Raw genomic sequence first — 20750 nt, 5'->3', positions numbered from 1 at the left:
CCCAGCTAAAATTAATTTAATAACATGCTTTATTTAACCCAATATACCCCTAAACATTACCATTGCAACATGTGATCAATTAAAAAAATTACTGGTGAGATACTTTACATTCTCTTTTATGTTCTAACTCTTAGAAATCTGATGTGTATTTTACATTTACAGCATAATTCAATCCAGATTAGCCACATTTCAAGGTTTTGTTTTATGGTTTTGTTTGTTTGTTTTTTGGATTACTTCACTTTTATTATAAACAAACACAATCTCAGATTAGTACAATTAGCTTCAGAGTTGATGTTAATAGAAATTATTCCAAAATTATTCTTGTCACAAGTAACTACTATGTCCCACATAAAAAGGGAAAAAATCCCACCCAATCACAGAAAAGGCATCCTCTGTATGTTTCCGTGGCAATGTGTTTTTTATGCATTCTCAAATTTTGTCTGGCTAGTTAATCCACTGCTTCTCCAATGGATTCATTCAATTTTTTGGAGAACCATATAGACTAATGACAGCATCTGGGACACACGGACATATCAAGTTGATGGTGGACATTGCTATTATAAAAAATACTCAGGTCTTGAGAATCCCTGTGCTGAAGGATCCCAAAATGCTTTCTAAAAAGCATTAGTCACGCCTCAAAACTGCCCTTTGAGGTAGGTCAGTATTATCATCCCCATTTTAACAGAAGGAAAACTGAGGCACCTTATAGTTAAGTGACTTGCCCAGGGTGACATAGCAAGTCAGTGGCACAGTGGTAGGAGAGGCCCTGGCCTTAACCACCAGCGTAACATGGCCACCTCACTTTTTTAACCTTTCATGATGACCTATTTGAGCTACACTTAGAGAGAATACACCCAAGATACTAGCAAACCGAGGAGAAAATTTTCCATTTTAAATGCTACAACCATCTTTTAACCTTAAAAATATATATATATATAAATCAAATACATTCAAATTACTTCCACCCTCCATCAAATGTGGGCACTTAAAAGCAGCCCTAACAAAAGTTTCCAGAATGAAGCCCAGAAGGGAATCCTGCAAATCGCGATACTGATAATCCTTCACTCAGGCCCCTTTTTCTACCAGCCACTTCAGTAGGCTCTCAGGTGCAAAGGGATTCCACAGAGGGAGTGAGGGCAGGCTCATATGCAACACTATGATTAGAAAAGATGTAAGGCACCCGAGTTAAGTTGCCAGCACAGCCCCGAAGCAAGGACTGTTAGAAATCCAGACTCTTGATCAGATCTGAGTTTATCATTAATGTGTCACTTGAATTGAGCTTTAGAATCTTGAGAATAGTGTTCCTTACTCAGCAGATACACCCACACCCACACCCACAGCCACACATACATTGGGGCCCTCAGCCTGAGGGTGCCATCCAGCCTTATGTAGGGTCATGGTACAGATCAGATCCATGGCACACGATTACAATAGGAAGAAGTGAAAGTTGTTTTTATCGTTCATATATCATCAAGAAGGCATCTTATGACCTGTGGAATTAGAAATAACAGCAGACATTTCCAAGGGGTAGGTGCACAGGTCAACAGAGCTAAACTACAGTGATCTTCCCTTAGATTCTTTTCTACTGAGGTGAATAGCTCAAAACACAAGGATGCCTTTAGTCCAGGCTAACCCCTGTAGCCTCCATGCAATTAACACAGGAAGAAAGGCCCTCCTTCCTTCCAGCACTGGGGCTCAACAGTGGACTGAGTGTTTGGTAGTGTACATTTCCAATCTTAATAGAGCAAAGCCAGGCTTCTGCTTTGATGACTGAGCTACAGGGACAGGAGTAGTCCAAGGTTCTCAAAACACTGATGTTCTGTTTCTGTTTTTGCCAGACTTCTATACTATTCCCTAGGCTATAGGGAATGCTGGTTAGTTTGCTGAACAGACACTCTGTTCAGCAGGGTTTGTGGTATCTCAAATCCCAGGTCTCAGCCAAAGGTTTGCAGTTCACCCTGACTCCAGGGAACAGGGCCTCCTTTTGAGGTGAGGCACTTGGGTTCTTGCCCTTGCTTCTTCCCAGTGAGAACTGTTTCCTCCTACTTCTACAAGCATTGCACTGCCAGCTGAGAGCACTGATTCAGGTGGGGCACCCTTACCGAGCAAGCAGAGGGGCATTCAGCATGCTCTCTGGTTCTGATCCAGAGAGAGGGGACTGAAAATAAACCCTCGTTTGCTCTGTGGCAGGCCCACTGGCTCATGAGCACTTGGCTTGGCTGTGCCTCATGAGAGAGGGAGGGAGAGAGAGGCTTTCTGGGCCAGAGACATTTCTGGGAGGGTTTGCCAGCCTTGTCTTGAGCCATCAGTGTGGCGGGGGAGCACAGAGGTGTAGGTGGAGACACTCCGGAGGCCATGCGAAAGTGGCAGCTAGCTCTACTTTCGGAAGAGAAGCAGTGGTTCAGTGACCCTGAGCATTCTGTCTGCAGGAGGGAGCTGCCTGGACAGCAAGTCATCACTGCCTCTGAATACACCCAAAGGAGGCTGCCTGTCCAGGGAAAGAAGAAAACGTTCAGGGAAGAGAAAGATCTAGTAAAAGAAAAGGGACAGACAGGGTAGAACCAGGAATCAAGAATCAGGGTAGTGAAGAGATTCCTAACCCTGCCCCCCAGGCAGTTCTATACTTAGGCTAGATGTTAACAGAGCCCCCCACCCCGCCAATAAAAAATGAGTGAAGGGGCACAACACTGTGGGGAGAAGCCTTCTAGTTTTTACTCATTTCAAGGAGAAACTGGAACTAATTAATGAATGGACCTAATATCTAGTTTATTTTATTAAGACTCCCAATAACTCACTCAGTAACCTTCTCAAGCCCCCGGCAATGTGTTCTCAGATCCCTTCCTGTGTGAAGTTTGCTCTTAGAAGCTGCCTATAGATCCTGTCCCTCAACCTCCCCATCTCATGTACAGCAGTGGAGAGGAAATTGGCATCCCAACTAATTCCTCCTCTCCTTCAGAGTTTTTTCAAACATCCCTCTTTGGGAGGGAAATACTCTAATAGTTTAACGTTCTAAGCAATGTATATATGTATATATATATTTCTTGTTTGACCCGACTCCACCTCCTAAAATCCTTCCCTTTTTTTGGATGGTTGGAAATGCCACAGCCATCTTATTACTATGAGGGGAACAACCAATATCCTGAAGATGGCAGAGCAGAAAGAGGAAAGAACTGTGATGAGCAGCTCATGGAATACTCAAAATTCTGTGAGCTGCTGTTTTTACCAATTATGGAAACACCCAACTTCAAGAATTCTTGATACATGAACTAAGAAATCTCCTTGTTATTAAAGAAAAAAAGAAAAGAAAACCCTTCCCCAGCAGAGACCACTTTTACTACAAACTTAAAGTGTCTCTTCTTTATCCTTGGCCTAAACTATATGTTGCGGCATTGAATTAGCATTGCCAAACACCACAGCCACTTCTTACCCCAAGCCAGGAGAGAAAGGAAGCATGCTATGTGGTGGGGCTTGAAGTCCTCACTAGGTAGGCAGCTGCATGTCTGATCATGGCAAGAGGTTCCTCTTGCTTCGCTTCCCTCATCCTTACATTCATACATGCTAACTCTCTCCCCCAACAATTTACCTGCTTTAGAAGCTTTGTGTCAAATGAAGTTGCTTTTCCATTCCATCTAGCAAAAGCCTGGGCTGAAGATAATTAACAGGGGACTACCCAGAAGATTCTGTTTTATCTCTAGCTCAAGCCACCTACTTCAAAGCTCACAACAGCTCAAGGAAAGAGAGTTATCTGGAGCAGAGACCATTCGTTTTAGGCTACAGAAAGGTTGTCTAGGCTTTGGAAGCTGGACACTGAACAAAGACTGACCAGCTGCTTGCCTGGGTGGCAATAAGAGAAAGGAGGATGATAGCAACAAAGTGAAAAGGAGGACAATGGGCCTAGAAGAGAGAGAGGATAAGAGAAGAAATAATGTCAGTTTAGCATCATAAAGGCAGAGTTGTTGGCTTTCAATACTTTCGAATTTTAAAAGAATACTGTACTGGAATGGGTTATCATCATCATCTTTAGCATCCTGGTAGCATTATTCAGTAGTTAATAAACAGACATTAAAACCTCTGCCTGGCTGGCTTTTGAAGAAGGAACCTGAGGGACCCCAAACTCAGCCACTCTTGTAGTTTCCCTCTCCGGTTCTTTTAATCCTGGCCAAGATGGCGGCCTTGGAGACTTTCTTCTGGTCGTAGGCCAGACCGAAGGCGGCCATGCAATCAATGAAGAATGTGGTGAAGTTGATGTGCCAGCGGTACTCACTGGCAGAGTAGTCATAGGGAAAGGAGTGGTGGTAGTTGTGAAAGCCCTCACCCACAGCTCCAAGTGAAACCAGGATATTCTCCCGGAGGCTAATGTTCTTGTCATAAGGACGATATCTGAAGAGGTGGGCAGCACTGTTCACCAGCCACGTGGCATTAAGCACCACAGCATATCGCAAGAAAGTGGCAACGAACACGCTGTTTTGAAAAGTTTCACCCCAGAAACACCAGGGCACAAGCGTGGGCAGGATGAAGCACATCAACAGCAAGCCGGGTTTGTAGTACCTCCTCTGGAACATCACCAGTTTCTCGGCTTCTAGGTCAGACAAGTCTAGCGTACTGCCCTTCTCTTTGACAGTTGGGTGTTTGCGCACAAGCAGCCAACCCACGTGAGAGAAGAAAAAGCCACGTCAGGAATTATGAGGATCAGCATGTGTTTCTGAAAACTTGTGGTGGGCACGGTGGTCGCGAGCCCATTCATAGACATCATTCTGGAATGCCATTGTGTTGGCAATGATCAGAAAGAGCCACAGGGACAGCCGAGCTTTGTAAGATCAGTGGCTCCACAGAGGATGAGCTCCTGCTGTTATGCCCAGGGCACTGATAAAATAGTAGAATACCCCCCAAAGCCAGGTGTATAAGTTGCAGGTAGGAATCAAAGTGATCCCATACAGGGCGCCCAAGTGTAGCAGAGACATAAGGATGATGTTTCTCCAGACATATTCAACCTTGGGGCTTGGGCCTTCCTTATCCTTGTAGGTGAGGTTATATATATCATCTTTTATATCAGGGCGAATGTCTTCTTCCAAGTAGAGGGGCGTCGTCTCCAACTTATCTCCTCCATTCTGCGGGACCCTGGAAGGAGGCGCTGTAATGGTGGTGGTGGTGGTGGTATAGGAGCTAGAGATATCGTCCTGCAGCAAGTGGGCCGGCATCTTGGCTCTCGGATGCCAGGATCACTTTCCAGGGGCTGAGGCTCCGGGGCGGAGTTCGGGGTCGCCGGAGGACTGCGATTTCGAAGCCCGCCGGTGCGCGCTGAGCCGCGGCGCCTTGCACGCTAGCTGGGTGTCGGCGCTAGCCGCGGTGCGTGGAGGTGCCCGATCCGGGAATTTAAAGGCTAGAGCTGGCAACGGGTGACCGTGTCCGGTATTTCCTCAGCCCCCTTTTATTGGCTGCCAAGCAGGGGCAACGTGCGCGGAGTTGACTGGCGCGAGCGGTCCCGCGTGGAGGTGAGGGCTGGAAGGGGAGGAGACAGAGGCCGAGGCTCGCGGCGACCGCAGCAGGGCGCCGGGGATGCTGCCGACACCGACACCACACCACCCGGCCCCTGTTTGTTTGTTTTTTAAGACAGGGTCTCACTCTGTCACCCAGGCTGGAGTGCTGTGGTGCCATCATGGCTCACTGCAGCCTCGATCTTCCAGGCTGAGATGATCCTGCCGCCTCACCGTTCCAAGTAGCTGGAACTACAGGTGCATGCCACCACACTTGACTAATTTTAAAATTTTTTGCAGAGATGGGGTCTGGCTGTGTTGCCCAACCTGATCTTGAACTCCTGGGTTTAAGTTATCCTCCTGCCTTAGCCTCCCAAGTGCTGAGATAATAGGCATTAACCACCATGCCCAGCTTCAAGTTTTCAATAGCTACCTGTGGCTAGCGGCTACTGCACTGGACGACACTAGTCTAGTCTAGGGCAGAGTCCATGATACATGGACATTACAGATGCAAACGTATGATTTCCCTCCACTTTTTTTTTTTTTTTTTTTTTTTTTTTTTTTTTTTTTGAGACCGAGTCTTGCTCTGTCACCCAGGCTGGAGTGCAGTGGCACGATCTCAGCTCACTGTAACCTCTGCCTCCCACGTTCAAGCAATTCTCCTGCCTCAGCCTCACGAGTAGCTGGGATTACAGGCACACGCCACCACACCAGGCTAATTTTTGCATTTTTAGTAGAGACGAGGTTCCACCATGTTGGCCAGGCCGGTCTCTTAACTCCTGGCCTCAAGTGATCCGCCTGCCTCGGCCTCCCAGAGTGCTGGGATTATAGGCGTGAACCACCGCGCTCGACCTCATCAATCTCTTAAAGAGAATCCAGCTTTATTACTGCCAGTACCTGACCAAACTGCTTCTATATTTGCCCTGGGAAAAATGGACAAAGGGAAATACTGTTAATTCATGAATAAAAACTTTGCAGAAAATTAGCCGGGTTTAATTTTCAAAAACTTCCCTCTTTGTTTGGTAGATACCAGCTACTGATGACTACATATACTAGGGAAAGTTTAAAATTAGGAAATGCCGATTTCTCACATTATGAATTTCTAAATCCTGTGAAGAAAAGCTTAAAGAGCTTCTGAATATACAGAAGTTCCACTTAAGGACTAGGTCGTCCTTGTAGATGCATCAAAATACTACAAATTCCAAATTGAGACTTAATTCTTAAGTGTGTTTTACTTGTTCTAAAACAATCTGTCCACAAACATAAAACTATAAGTAATAAATTGTTATTTTCCCACTGTGGGAATCTTTAGTGTGAAAAAGTATTCTATGAAAAGAATTTTTTAAAAAATAAATTATACAATAAAAAATATGTACAAAATGGGTTACAGAGGACAGATTTGTATACGCATAGATAAAGATATGGAAGGTAACACACAAAACTGTTAACAGGGCCAGGCATGGTGGCTCACGCCTGTAATCCCAACACTTTGGAAGGCCGAGGTGGGTGGACTGCTTGAGGCCAGGAGTTCGAGACCAGCCTAGCCAACATGGCAAAAACCTGTCTCTACAAAAAAATACAAACAAACAAAAAATTAGCCAGACATGGTGGCACACGCCTGTAGTCCCAGCTACTTGGGAGGCTGAGGTACAAGAATCTCTTGAACCCAGAAGGTGGAGGTTGCAGTGAGCCAAGACCGTGCCACTGCATTCCAGCTTGGGTGACAGAGTGAGACCCTGTCCCCTCCCCCCTCCCAAAAAGTGTTCACAGTAGTCACTACTGAAAAATGGGATTTAAGATGAACAACAGAATTTTACATTTTTAAAAATTCCCTACTAACTTGAATATTTTTATAATAAATATATATAACTTAAGAATAAAAGTAAAAAAAAAAGAGGTATCATATTCAGATAGAGTCTGAGTTTTCATTAAACTATTTAATACATGAGTTCAATATTTGTCTAAAAAAGCAATCTCTAAAATTATGCATCATAAGGTTGGATGCAGTGGCTAATGCCTGTAATCCCAGCTCTTTGGGAGGCCAAGGCAGGCAGATCACTTGAGATCAGGAGTTCAAGACCAGCCTGGCCAACATGGTAAAACCCCATCTCTACTAAAAATGAAAAATTAGCCGGGCTTGGTGGCCCACACCTGTAATCCCAGCTATTCAGAAGGGTGAGACAGGAGAATCGGTTGAACCCAGGAGGCGAAGGTTGCAGTGAGCCAAGATGGCACCGCTGCACTCCAGCCTGAACAACAGAGCAAGACTCTGTCTCAAAATAAATAAATAAATAAATAAATAAATAAATAAATAAATAAATAAAATGATGTATCATAAAAGTAACTTTAGGTGTATCAATTAAAGACTTCAGGCTGGGCACAGTGGCTCAGACCTATAATCCCAGCACTTTGGGAGGCCGAGGCAGGAGGCTTGTGTGAGCTCTTGAGAGTTCAAGACTAGCCTGGGCAACATAGCGAGACCCTGTCACTACTAAAAAAAATAAGCCTGGCGTGGCACTGCCTGCCTGTAGGCCCAGCTACTCTGGAGGCTGAGGTGGGAGGATTGCTTGGGCCTGGTACTCAAGGCTGCAGTGAGCCATGGTTGCAACACTGCTCCCCAACCTGGGTGACAGAGCAAGACCCTGTCTCAAAAAAAAAAAAAAAAAAAGATTTCATAAACTTTGCTGGTTAGACAGTATTAAAATTATTTTGTCAAGCTTTTAAATAACTACTCTCCATCAGTCTAGGAATTTAAAAAATCTTTGACTTTAACAGATTAAAACGTAAAAAAGAAATATAAGCAATAAAAATATTAAAATAAAAAAAGAAAAAACAACAAAAAAATCCAAGAGTGCTTCCAAGTTTAGCTTGCCTTCCACTCAGGTGGGAGAAAGTTCAAATATTGCTGATCTACACAAAATATCAATAATTAGTATGTTTTCATAATTTACTCATTTTAATTCATAATAAGCAAGAATAGGAGTTCATTTCCATTAATTGACTATGATTATTTAGCAGTCTGCGGTGCTAGAGAAAGTATGAAAATCCAAAGCATATATACATACACAGTTTTTGAGACAGTGTCTTGCTCTGTCAACCAGCTGGAGTTCAGTGGTGTGATCACAGATTACTGCAGCCTCAACCTCCCAGGCCCAAGCAGCCCTACCACCTCAGCCTCCCAAAGTGCTATGATTACGGGTGTGAGCTGCCATGCCTGGCCAAAAGCATATTTATTTAAAACACCACTGCTAGGCCAAGTACAGTAGCTCATGCCTATACTCCCAACACTTTGGGAGGCCGAGGAGGGAGGATTGCCTGAGCCCAGGAGTTCCAGACCAGCCTGGGCAACATGGGGAAATTCCATCTCTACAAAACAACAACAATAACAACAACAACAACAACAAAAAGCCATAAAAAAACAAAAATTAGCCAGGCTTAACATAGAGATGATTTAAAAGTATTACAGGAGGGCTGGCCATAGTGGCTTATGCCTGTAATCCAGCCACTGGGGAGGCTGAGTGCAAGGATTCCTTGAGCCCAGGAATTTAGGACCAGCCAGGGCAACATAGCGAGACAGCTCCCCCACCCCCCAGAAATAAAAAACCTTACCTGGACATGGTGGCACACACACCTGTAGTCCTAACTACTTGGGAAGCTGAGGCAGAAGGAACCCTTGCACCCAGGAGTTCAAGGATGGTCCATGCACGCACTTCATCTGGGCCTGCAGTGAAATAGGCTGCTCCCTTCCTGCCTGACCGGAAGGGTTGGGGAGAATCCCAGCAGGGAGAAAGCAATCCCTTCACCCCAGTTGCCAAACAGAACCCCCCACCCCCTGGATTTTCCTTCTCCCTCCATCCCTGACGGTTCTGGCTTTCCCAAACTGCTTTTGATCTTCTGATTCCCCTTGGGTTGAAGCAGACCAGTATTTTTTTTAACAACAGCACCACTCCCCACTTGTTCCTCCCCCTCCCCATGCTGCCAACTTCTTCTTCTTCCTTTTTTTTTTTTTTTTTTTTTTTTTTCCCAGTAGAGACGGGGTTTCACTGTGTTGACCAGGCTGGTCTTTGACTCCTGACCTCAAGTGATCCACCTGCCTCGGCCTCCCAAAGTGCTAGGATTACAGGCGTGAGCCACTGCAGCCAGCCTCGGTGTGATGTTTTGATACATGTACTACATGGACTTTTTTTTTTTTTTTTTTTTTTTTTTTTGAGACAGAGTCTCACTCCATTGCCCAGGCTGGAGTGCAGTGGCGTGACCTTGGCTCACTGCAACCTCCACCTCCCAGGGTCAAGTGATTCTCATGCCTCAGCCTCCTGAGTAGCTGAGATTACAACATGAGCCACCACGCCCGGCTAATTTTTGTAGTTTTAGTAGAGACAGGGTTTCACCATGCTGGCCAGGCTGGTCTCAAACTCCTGGGCTTGTGCCACTGAGCCCAGCCACCATGCCCGGCCAGAAATATGATTGGTTTTCATTTATTGATCTTGTACCCTACAACATTGGTGTACTTGTTTATTAGTTCTTATATAATTTTTTATTTTTGACACATAATAATTGCACTTACTTATGGGGTACAGTGTGATATCTTTTTTTTTTCCTGAGATGGAGTCTCGCTCTGTCTCCCAGGCTGGAGTGCAGTGGCGCCATCTAGGCCCACTGCAACCTCCGCCTCCTGGGTTCAAGCGATTCTAGTGCCTTAGCCGCCCCAGTAGCTGGGATTACAGGTGTGTGCCACATCATCCAGCTAATTTTTGCATTTTTAGTAATGACGGAGTTTCACCATGTTGCCCAGGGTGGTCTCGAACTTCTGACCTCAGATGATCCGCCCACCTCGCCCTCCAAAAGTGCTAGGATTACAGGCATAAGCCACCATGCCCAGCCTCAAGGCAATCCTATCAAAACCCCAGTTTTCTTTCTTGCAGAAGTTGTCAAGCTGATTCTAAAATTCAGATTAAAATACAAGAGTTGGCCAGGCATGGTGGCTCATGTCTGTAATCCCAACACTTTGGGAAACTGAGGCGGGAGAATTGCTTGAGGCCAGGAATTTGGGACCAGACTGGGCAACACGGTGAGACTCTCTACCAAAAACTACTACGACAAAATTAGAGTGGTGTGGTGGCTTGTGCCTGTAATCCCACCTATCTGGGAGGCTGAGGTGGGAGGATTGCTTGAGCCCAGGAAGTAGAGGCTGCAGTGAACCATGTTCACACCTCTGCACTCCAGCCTGGGTATCACAGTGAGACCACGTCTCTAAAAAATACAAAAAAAATAAAAAAAATAAAGGGAACCTAGAGCAACCACTGAAAAAAGTTGTTAAAAAGTAAAAAAAAAGAAGCACAATGAATATGCTAAGAAAAAAATAGAAAAAATTAAAAGGAGAGAAAAAATGAAGTCATATAAAATGGTCAGTTAAAACTACAAAAGGAAGAAAAATAGTGAAAGAAATACAAGGGACACAAAATAGCCAAAACAACCTTGAGAAAGAACAAAGTTGAAGGATGGGCACTTCCTGATTTCAAAACAGCACTGTATTAGTCCGGTTTCATACTGCTATAAATAACTTTCTGAGACTAGGCAATTTATAAAGAAAAGAGGTTTAATTGACTCACAGTTCAGCATGGCTGGGGAGGCCTCAGGAAACTTACAATCAAGGTGAAGGGGAAGCAAGGCACCTTCTTCACAAGGCAGCAAGAAGCAGCGCCAAGAGAAAGGGGAAAGAGCCCCTTATAAAACAATCAGATCTTATGAGAACTCACTGTCATGAGAACAGCATGGGGAACTGCCTCCACGATTCAATTACCTCCACCTGGTCTCTCCCTTGACACATGGGGATTATAGTGATTATGGGGATTACACTTCAAGATAAGATTTGGGTGGGGACACCAAGCCTAACCATATCAAGCACAAAGCTACAGCAATCAAGACAGTGTGGTACTGGTATAAGAACATTCAACATTCATACAGATCAATGCAATAGAATTAAAGCCCAGAAATAAACCCTTACATTCATGGTCAACTGATTTTTGACAAAGATGCCGAGGAAATTCAGTGACAAAGAGCCTTTCAATATATGGCGCTGGGACAAGTGAATTGCAAAAAAATTAATTTGGACTCCTATGTCACACCATACATAAAAAATTAGCTCAAAATGTAAGAATTGAAACTGTACAACTTATGGAAAAAATATATAAGTAAATTAAAAATTTTTATATATTTATGTATTTTTGGAGACAGGGTCCCACTCTGTCACCCAGGCTGGAGTGCAGAGGTGTGAACATGGTTCACTATAGCCTCCACCTCCTGGGCTCGAGCAATCCTCCCATTTCAGCCTCCTGAGTAGCTGGGACCACAGAAATATGCCACCATGTCTGGCTACTTTTTAGTTTTGTTTTTTTTTTTTGAGACAGGGTCTCACTATTTTTCCCAAGCTAATCTTCAACTCCTGGTCTCAAGTCTCAACCTCCCAAAAGTGCTGAGATTACAGGTGTGAACCACCATGACCCCCCAAAGTAAATTTTCTTGGGTTACAGAATGCTTTCTTAGATACAACATTAAAAGCATAAGCAACCAAAGATAAACAGATAAACTGGAATTCATGAAAACTGAAAATTTTAGTGCTTCAAAAAATACCATCAAGAAAGCTCAAGTACCCACAGAATGAGAGAAAATATTTGCAAATCATATATCTGTTATGAGACTTATATTCAGAATATATTCTAAAAAACTTACGACACCATATTAAGATAAAACCCATAATTGTTTTTTTAAAAAAATGCATCTGAAAAGAAATTTTTCCAAAGAAGATATGCAAATGGACAATGGGCACATGAAAAGATGCTCAATGTCATTAGCCATCAGAGAAATGCAAATCAAAATCAAAATGAGATACCACATCATTCCAGCTAGAATGGCTATAATCAAAAAGATAGATAACAAAGGTTAGAACGTGGAGAAATCGGTACTCTAATGCACTGCAACTGGGAATGCTAAATGGTGCAGCCACTTTGGAAAATAGTCTAGCAGTTCCTCAAAAGGTTATCATATGACCCAGCAACTTCATTCTTTGTACATATACTCATGAAAAATAAAAACATATATCCACATAAAAACTTGTACATAAATGTTAATAACAGCATTGTTCATAATAATCAACACAAGAACAACCTAAATGTCCATCATCTGGTGAATGATTAAACAAACTGTGGTATATCCGTACAATGGAATATTATTTGACCATAAAAAGGAATGAAGTACTGATACGTTCTGCAACATGAATAAACCTTGAAAGCATTAAGCTAAGTGAAAAAAGCTGGCTGGGCATGGCGGCTCATGCCTGTAATCCCAGCACTTTGGGAGGCCGAGGCAGGAGGATTGCTTGAGCCCAGGAGTTTGTTGTTGTTGTTGTTGTTGTTTTTCCAGATGTTTTGTTGGGTGTAGACATCTGGAGTACTGTAAAACATGCATTATCTTTCTTCTTCGGTTGTTGAGGTGTGTTAAATTTGAAGAAGATAATATCTCCATCTTCAACAATATAATTTCTGCCTTGTTGTCTGTACTTTCCGGCAGCCTTGACTGCATTTCAGAACCTTCCCATTTAAAATCTTCGTATTTCATTACTTCAGCCATAATGAATCTCTTTTCAAAATTTGTGTGAATCTTTCCTGCAGCCTGAGGATTCTTAGTCCCTTTCCTGATGGTCCCTGCACACACTTCATCTGGGCCTGCAGTGAAAACGTATTCTAGTTGGAGTGCTGCAGACCCAGCCTTAATGATCTTTGGCAAAGCACTTTGAGTCGTGTTTGCTTCCAGTTACTCCGGTCTCTCCTCAGCACTCAATTCTTGCCAAGGCCCCACTAAAAGGAACGACAAAGGCACCTAGGTCATACTTGTCCACCCACTATTTAATTTATTTTTATTTTTATCAACCATTTGTTTTTCTTTCTTTCTTTCTTTCTTTCTTTTTTTTTTTTTTGAGACGGAGTCTTGCCCAGGCTGGAGTGCAGTGGCACAATCTCAGCTCACTGCCACCTCCGCCTCCCAGGTTCAAGCAATTCTCCTGCCTCAGCCTCCCGATTAGCTGGGATTACAGGCGTGCACCACCATGCCCAGCTAATTTTTGTATTTTTAGTACAGATGGGGTTTCACCATATTGGCCAGGCTGGTCTTGAACTCCTGACCTGGTGATCTGCCCACCTCGGCCTCCCAAAGAGGTTTTAGTTTTTTATCTCCTCCTCTCACAGCCACCTTTTCTAGTTTATCTGTAATGGACCCAATCATTTCCTCCTCTTTAAGCTGAAGCTCTTCATGTATTATTTCTGTATCTCCAATAAGATCTACACTTCCTTCAACATGCGTCATATCACCATCTTCAAAAGTACGTGTTACATGAAAGATGCCATCACAGGCATTAATATGAGATTAAAAAGAAAAAAAGCATTCCCCAGGCCCTGCCCATTGTGAGCTCCTTTCACAAGGCCAGCAGTATCCACTATATTTAGAAAGGCAGGAATTTTGCTTGCTGGTTTGTGGTACTGGCAAAGAAAGTCAAACCTTTCATCTGGCGCAGGTACCCTGCTCTCATTAGGATCAATGGTGCCAAATAGGAAGTTTTCTGCTGAAGCCTGACTACTGGTTAATACATCGAAGAAAGTAGATTTTCCAACATTTAGCAATCCACCAATACCAATTTTCAGTGAAGTTCCAAATCTTCCAATGATTGGGGGTGGTTTAATTCCATCACCTCCCTCTTTGCAGGGCATCGTGCTCGGCCTTGGCGATGACACGGGGTCCCAGCGGCTGCGAGAGAAAGGTCCTACTGGCAGCCAGAGGCGGGGAGGAAGGAGGAGAGAATGCAGGCCTGGCACTCCGCCGGGCCCACGCACCTCGGCAGCGGTGGCCGCGGCGGAACTGGAGGGCCGGGCCTTGAACGGCACCTCGAGCCCAGGAGTTTGAAACTAGCCTGGGCAACATAGTGAGACCCTGTAGCTAAAAGAAAAGAAAAAAAAAAAAAAAAAGGAGAAGAAGAAGAAGCAAAAGAAGCCAGTCACAAAGGTCACATAATTGTGATTCCACTTATATGAAATGTCTGGAATAGGCAAGTCCACAGAGACAGAATGTAGATTAGTGATTGCCAGGTCCTGGGGGAATGAAGGAATGGGGAATGAATGCTAAAGGGTATGGAGTTTTTGGGGGGTTTTTTGTTTTTTTTTTTGGAGAGAAAAAAATGTTCTAAATGGACAATGGTAATGATTACACAACTCTGTGATTATACTAAAACCCAGCGAACTGTGTACTTTAAAAGGGTGAAATCTATGCTATGTGAATAATAAAGTGTGTTATTTAAACAACACACTTGGGGTTTGTTGTCTGGTACACAGAGGTGACTTTCAGATTTGTGCTGGTGGCAAGAGGGGAAAACAACTGCAAGGACAGCAACTGCTGCTAAAGAAACACCAGCAGTTTCTAATTTTACACTGTCCTATATTTTGCTGTGAGTTTCGTAGCTTTCGATAATGCTATACTAGAGGCCAAAACAGAAATGCTTTTTATATTTTATTATAACAGATAAACTGGGAAATAAACTTGCCCATTGCTTTTTTAAAAAGGAAATGAGCTAAAAACAACATAGATGTAAGTGGAGCTTAAATAAACCTTTGCTTAGTAAGATGGATATTTCACAAGAGAGGGAGAGTTTGGTCGTAAAAATAGTTTAAAGTGTTACATTATTTTAAAAAGCATTTTGTTTCATTTACTGTAGATGGCCAAGCATCATTTTAAAACATATGGTAAATCTGTTGGGTAGTAAAAAGAAATGACATCTTTTTCCATTTTCTTATTCTTTCCAGTTTATCTCTTTATTGTAAATCATTTCCCATTGTGGGAGGATATTAAATTTAAATCAAACTGAGGGGGAAAAAGCAGTACTTATGTTCATAAATTCATGTTTTTCTTAGTATTGCTGCCTCTTACAGCCATTTTATGAAGAATACCATGGACTGAGTAGTTAATATTATTTAAGATTTTTCAAATTGGTCTATTCCTGGATCTAAACAAATTGGAAAATTGGAAGTTTCTTTTCTTTTCTCTCTTTTTTTTTAGACAAGAGTCTCCCTCTGTTGCCCAGGATGGAGTGCAGTGGCACAGCCTTGGCTCACTGCAACCTCCACCTCTCAGGTTCAAGCGATTCTCCTGCCTCAGCCTCCCAAGTAGCTGGGATTACAGGCACGCACCACCATGCCTAGCTAATTTTGTATTTTTAGTAGAGACAGGGTTTAGCCATATTGGCCAAGCTAGTCTCAAACTCCTGACCTCAGGTGATCTGCCTACCTTGGCCTCCCAAAATGCTGAGATTACAGGCATGAGCCACTGTGTCTGGCCGGAAGTTTCTTCTCTTGAGCAAACAGCTCTTTTTATAGGTCAAGAAACCTATTTACAAAAAGAAACAAAAAATTTATGTAATTATGAAATAAACATTTAAAATAAATTGTAATACTCTTTCATGATAAAAGATCCATGAACCAGAACTTGTAAGTATTTAAGGAATGCTATTAAGGTTGATTTGTTTGTTTGTTTGTTTGTTTTTGAAATGAAGCCTCGTTCTGTCACCCAGGATGGAGTGCAGTGGAGCGATCTCGGCTCATTGCAACCTCTGCTTCCCAGGCAGCGGTTGATTCTCCTGTCTCAGCCTCCCAAGTAGCTGGGATTATAGGCACCCGCCACCAGGCCCAGCTAATTTTTGTATTTTTATTAGAGACAGGTTTTCACCATGTTGGCCAGGCTGGTCTCAAACTCCTGGCCGCAAGTGATCCACCCACCTCAGCCTCCCAAAGTGCTGGGATTACAGGCGTGAGTTACTGTGCCAGGACAATATTGAGGTTGATTTGTAAAGATAAGTCATAATTAACATGTATAGTGCTTTCCATGTCCTTAGACTATTCTAAGTGCTCTGCATGAGAGTGTATGTGTTACCGAAACACCAGGGGTTCAGTCTACGTCCTGCTGCTCTCTGCACAGAAAGCCAAACACTGAAACCACAATTACTGCCAAGGAAGAAGGCTTTAACTGGGTGCTGCAGTAGAGGAATTGGGAGCTTAGTCTCAAATCCAACTCCCTGACTGACTGTAACTAGGGGTTTATGTAGCAGAAAAGAAATGTAACAATGTATAAGAAAACGAGAGGCTGGGCACGGTGGCTCATGCCTGTAATCTCAGCACTTTGGGAGGCCAAGGCAGGCCCATCACCTGAGGTCAGGAGTTCAAGACTAGCCTGGCCAACATAGTGAAACCCTGTCTTTACTAAAAATACAAAAATTAGCTGGATGTGGTAGTGCCTGTAATCCCAGCTACTTGGGAGGCTGAGGCAGGAGAATTGCTTGAACCCGGGAGGTGGAGGTTGCAGTGAGCTGAAATCGCACCATTGCACCCTAGCCTGAGCAACAAGAGTTTTTTTCAGACTCCATCTGAAAAAAAAAAAAGAAAAAAAAGAAAAAAAAAAGAGAACAAGAACTAGGGAGGAGCAAGGCAGCAATCATGATGAATGAGGGGTCCCCGAATCTCATTGTCTGGATGTGGTGACCTGGTTAGTTTCAGTTCTTTGATAATGTTTTTGAGAGACCTAAAGGTAGTTTTTTGAGGAAAGAACTCAGATAAAACAAATGTGGCCAGGCATGGTGGCTCACGCCTATAAACCCAACACCTTGGGAGGCTGAGGCAGGTGGATCTCCTGAGGTCAGGAGTTCAAGACCAGCCTGGCCAACATAGTGAAACCCTGTCTCTACTTAAAAAAAAGTAAAAAAAAAAATTAGCTGGACGTGGTGATGCACACCTGTAGTCCCAGCTATTCGGGAGGCTGAGGCAGGAGAATCACTTGAACCTGGGAGCCAGAGGTTGCAGTCAGCCAAGGTGACGCCACTGTACTCCAGCCTGGGCGACAGATGAGACTCCATCTCAAAAAAGTTAAATAGATAAATAAAATAAAATAAAACAAATGTAAGTTTCAAATTTAAGACCAGGTCAGTTTCTTTTTCTGTTGTTGTTCCAATTTTAGTATATGTGCTGACTAAGCCAGCACAAGAAGAGTCAATTTCTATATTTATCCCAAAAAACTTCTATGGGACTATGGGGTCAGTTTCGTATATACATACATAAATACATGTATGTGCATATGAATGTGTACATTCCTCACAGTTATATAAGTAAATAAAAGGTCTTCACCACAACCCCATTAAGATGAGGACACTGAGACAGTGCAAGGTTAAATAGTCTCTCCAAGCTAAACTGAAGGATGTTTGGCATTGGAGTCCATGTTTTTAATAATTATGCTACATGAATATCAAGAGCTCTAAAGAGAACATTAAGCCAATAAATTCTGTCTCCTTATCCGTGTTTTGATACTACACTGTGTAAAACACCAAGTGCTTCCTTTGGACATAAGGTACATCTAAAGCTTATTATAAACTTCTTCTGCAAGAAAAGGGGTGACTAATTTGTTTTGGTACCCTCTTTGATCTGTGACAAAACTCTCTAGATTTAATGACTGATTCTGGGATTCCAAACAATTTGTCAATCTAAAGTACATTACTGGTTGGGCACAGTGGCTCACGCCTGTAATCCCAGCACTTTGGGAGGCTGAGGCAGGTGGATCACCTGAGGTCAGGAATTTGAGACCAGCCTGGCCAGTATGGTGAAACACCATCTCTACTAAAAATACAAAAATTAGCTGGGCGTGGTGGCGCATGCCTGTAGTCCCAGCTACGCGGGAGGCTGAGGCAGGAGAATCGCTTGAACCCAGGAGGCGGAGGTTGCAGTGAGTTGAGATGGCGCCACTCCACTCCAGCCTGGATGACAGACTGAGACTCCATCTCAAAAAAATAAAAAATAGCTTTCTGCCCATGGACACTGCCGAGGAAGCATCATTAAAGTCTCTCTTCTCCCTGCCGTCATGTATAAGTCAGAGTCTCCTAAAGAGCCTGAACAACTGAGGAAGCTCTTCGTTGGACGGTTGAGCTTTGAAACAACTGATGAGAGCCTGAGGAGCCACTCTGAGCAATGGGAACGCTCACGGACTGTGTGGTCATGAGACATCCAAACACCTAGTGCTCCAGGGGCTGTGCGTTTGTCACTATGCCACTGTGGGGGAGGTGGATGCAGCCATGAATGCAAGGCCACACAGGGTGGATGGAAGAGTTGTGGAAACAAAGAGAACTGTCTCAAGAGAAGATTCTCGAAGACCAGGTGCCCACTTAACTGTGAAAAAGATATTTGTTGGTGGCACTAAAGAAGACACTGAAGAACATCACCTAAGAGATTTTTTGTTTTGTTTTCAGATGGAGTCTTGCTCTGTTGCTAGGCTGGAGTACAGTGCTGCGATCTCGGCTCACTGCAACCTCTCCCTCCTGGGTTCAAGCGATTCTTCTGCCTCAGCCTACCGAGTAGCTGGGACTACAGGGGCACACCACCATGCCCAGCCAATTTTTGTATTTTTAGTAGAGATGGTGTTTCACCATATTGGCCAGGCTGCTCTTGAACTCCTGACCTGGTGATCCGCCTGCTTCGGCCTCCCAAAGTGCTGGGATTACAGGTGTGAGCCACTGCACCCAGCCATAAATGTCTTTTTAAAAAACAATAATAATAATAATTTCAAAAAAATAAAGTACGTTACTTTAGGATCAAATGTGGATACATTCAAAACAATGTACTGAAAATGGGTCTTTATTTTCCAGAAGGTCCAACCACTGGGTCACATGATGTAAATTAATTTTTATATAAGAAATGTATCTACCTTAATAATTTGCTTGGATTTGGGGGGGAAAAAAGAAAAAAAAAAAGAGGCTGGACTCCGTGGTTAACTCCCCTAATCCCATAACTTTGAGAGGCTGAGGTGGGAAGATCACTTGAGCCCAGGAGTTCAAGACCAACCTGGGCCGTCACCAATCAGCCTAGGCTGACTCCGTCTCTATAAAAAATTTTAAAGTTAGCCAGGCGTGGTGGTGTGTGCCTGTGGACCCAGCTGCTAGGAAGGCTGAGATGGGAGATTGCTTGGGCCCAAGAGGCAGAAGTTGCAGTGAACCATGATTATGCCACTACACTCCAGCCTGCAAATGCAGGAAGACCCTGTCTAAAAAAAAAAACAAAGGAAACATACTTCGTGAGATTATAATCAACCCCATACGACAAATTATTTTAGAACAATTCCCAAAAGACATTTTTATTTTGGGAGAGAGACCACAATTGTCTCCCTATACTCACATATACATGAATGAGCCCATACAATAATTTTTGATTGGTCTTACTTAAGCACCACTTTCTTTTTATACTTTTTATTTATTTATTTTTTCTTGAGACAGGATCTCTGTCACTCAGGCTGGAGCTCAGTGGTACGATCTCAATTCACTGCAGCCTCAACCTCCTGGGCTCAGGTGATCCTCCCACCTCAGCCTCCTGAGTAGCTGGAATACAGGCACATGCCACCATGCCTGGCTAACTGTAAAATTTCTTGTAGAGGACAGGATTTTGCCATGTTGCCCAGGCTGGTCTTGAACTCCTGGGCTCAAGCGATTCTCCTGCCTCAGCCTCCAAAGTGCTGGGATTACAGGTGGGAGCTACCACACCTGAGTGACGTATTTCTTTAAAACACTCAGTTTTTAATAAAACATGTCCATCTTGTGCCAACTTTAATTGACTGAGAGTGGGTGCCTGGAATTCTGTGTTGAGAAGGAATATGAGGCTGAGTCCAGGCTAATCCAGAGTGACTCTGGTATCAATTGTATCTACCATAGCTATGGGTAAGCACAGTGGTAGCATAAGTGCTATATACCATGGCTGAATTAGAGGATACACTTTCTATTTAAAAAAAAAAAAGAGTAATTGTATTTTGGGCTGGGCGAGGTGGCTCACGCCTGTTATCCCAGCACTTTAAGAGGCTGAGGTGGGCAGATCACTTGAGGTCAGGAGTTTGAGACCAACCTGGCCAACGTGGTGAAACCCCGTCTCTACGAAAAATACAAAAATTAGCCAAGTGTGATGGCAGGCACCTGTAATCCCAGCTACACGGGAGGCTGGCGCAGGGAGAATTGCTTGAACCCAGAAGGCCGAGGTTGCAGTGAGCCAGGATTGCATCACTGCACTCCAGCCTGGGCGACAAAAGTGAAAACTCCGTCTAAAAAAACCAAAAATTTATTTTCTCCCCTCATGGAAGTTAAAATGAAACTGGGAATATAACACAAGTATGCCAAACCATTTAAACCAAATGAGAACTGGGGGAAAAAAAATACAAACT

General features: G+C 43.6%; 3 pseudogenes; 1 reads left to right on the top strand and 2 right to left on the bottom strand.

Moving 5' to 3' along the window:
* SCDP1 (stearoyl-CoA desaturase pseudogene 1) lies at nt 229-5469 on the bottom strand (annotated as a pseudogene).
* OLA1P2 (OLA1 pseudogene 2) lies at nt 12884-14395 on the bottom strand (annotated as a pseudogene).
* On the top strand, nt 18354-18785 carry HNRNPA1P19 (heterogeneous nuclear ribonucleoprotein A1 pseudogene 19; annotated as a pseudogene).

The sequence above is a fragment of the Homo sapiens genome, chromosome 17, assembly GCF_000001405.40.
Source record: "Homo sapiens chromosome 17, GRCh38.p14 Primary Assembly".
In the NCBI taxonomy this organism is placed as follows: Eukaryota; Metazoa; Chordata; class Mammalia; order Primates; family Hominidae; genus Homo; species Homo sapiens.
The sequence above is the reverse complement of the archived record's forward strand: the minus strand, read 5'-3'. Positions and strand labels throughout refer to the sequence as shown.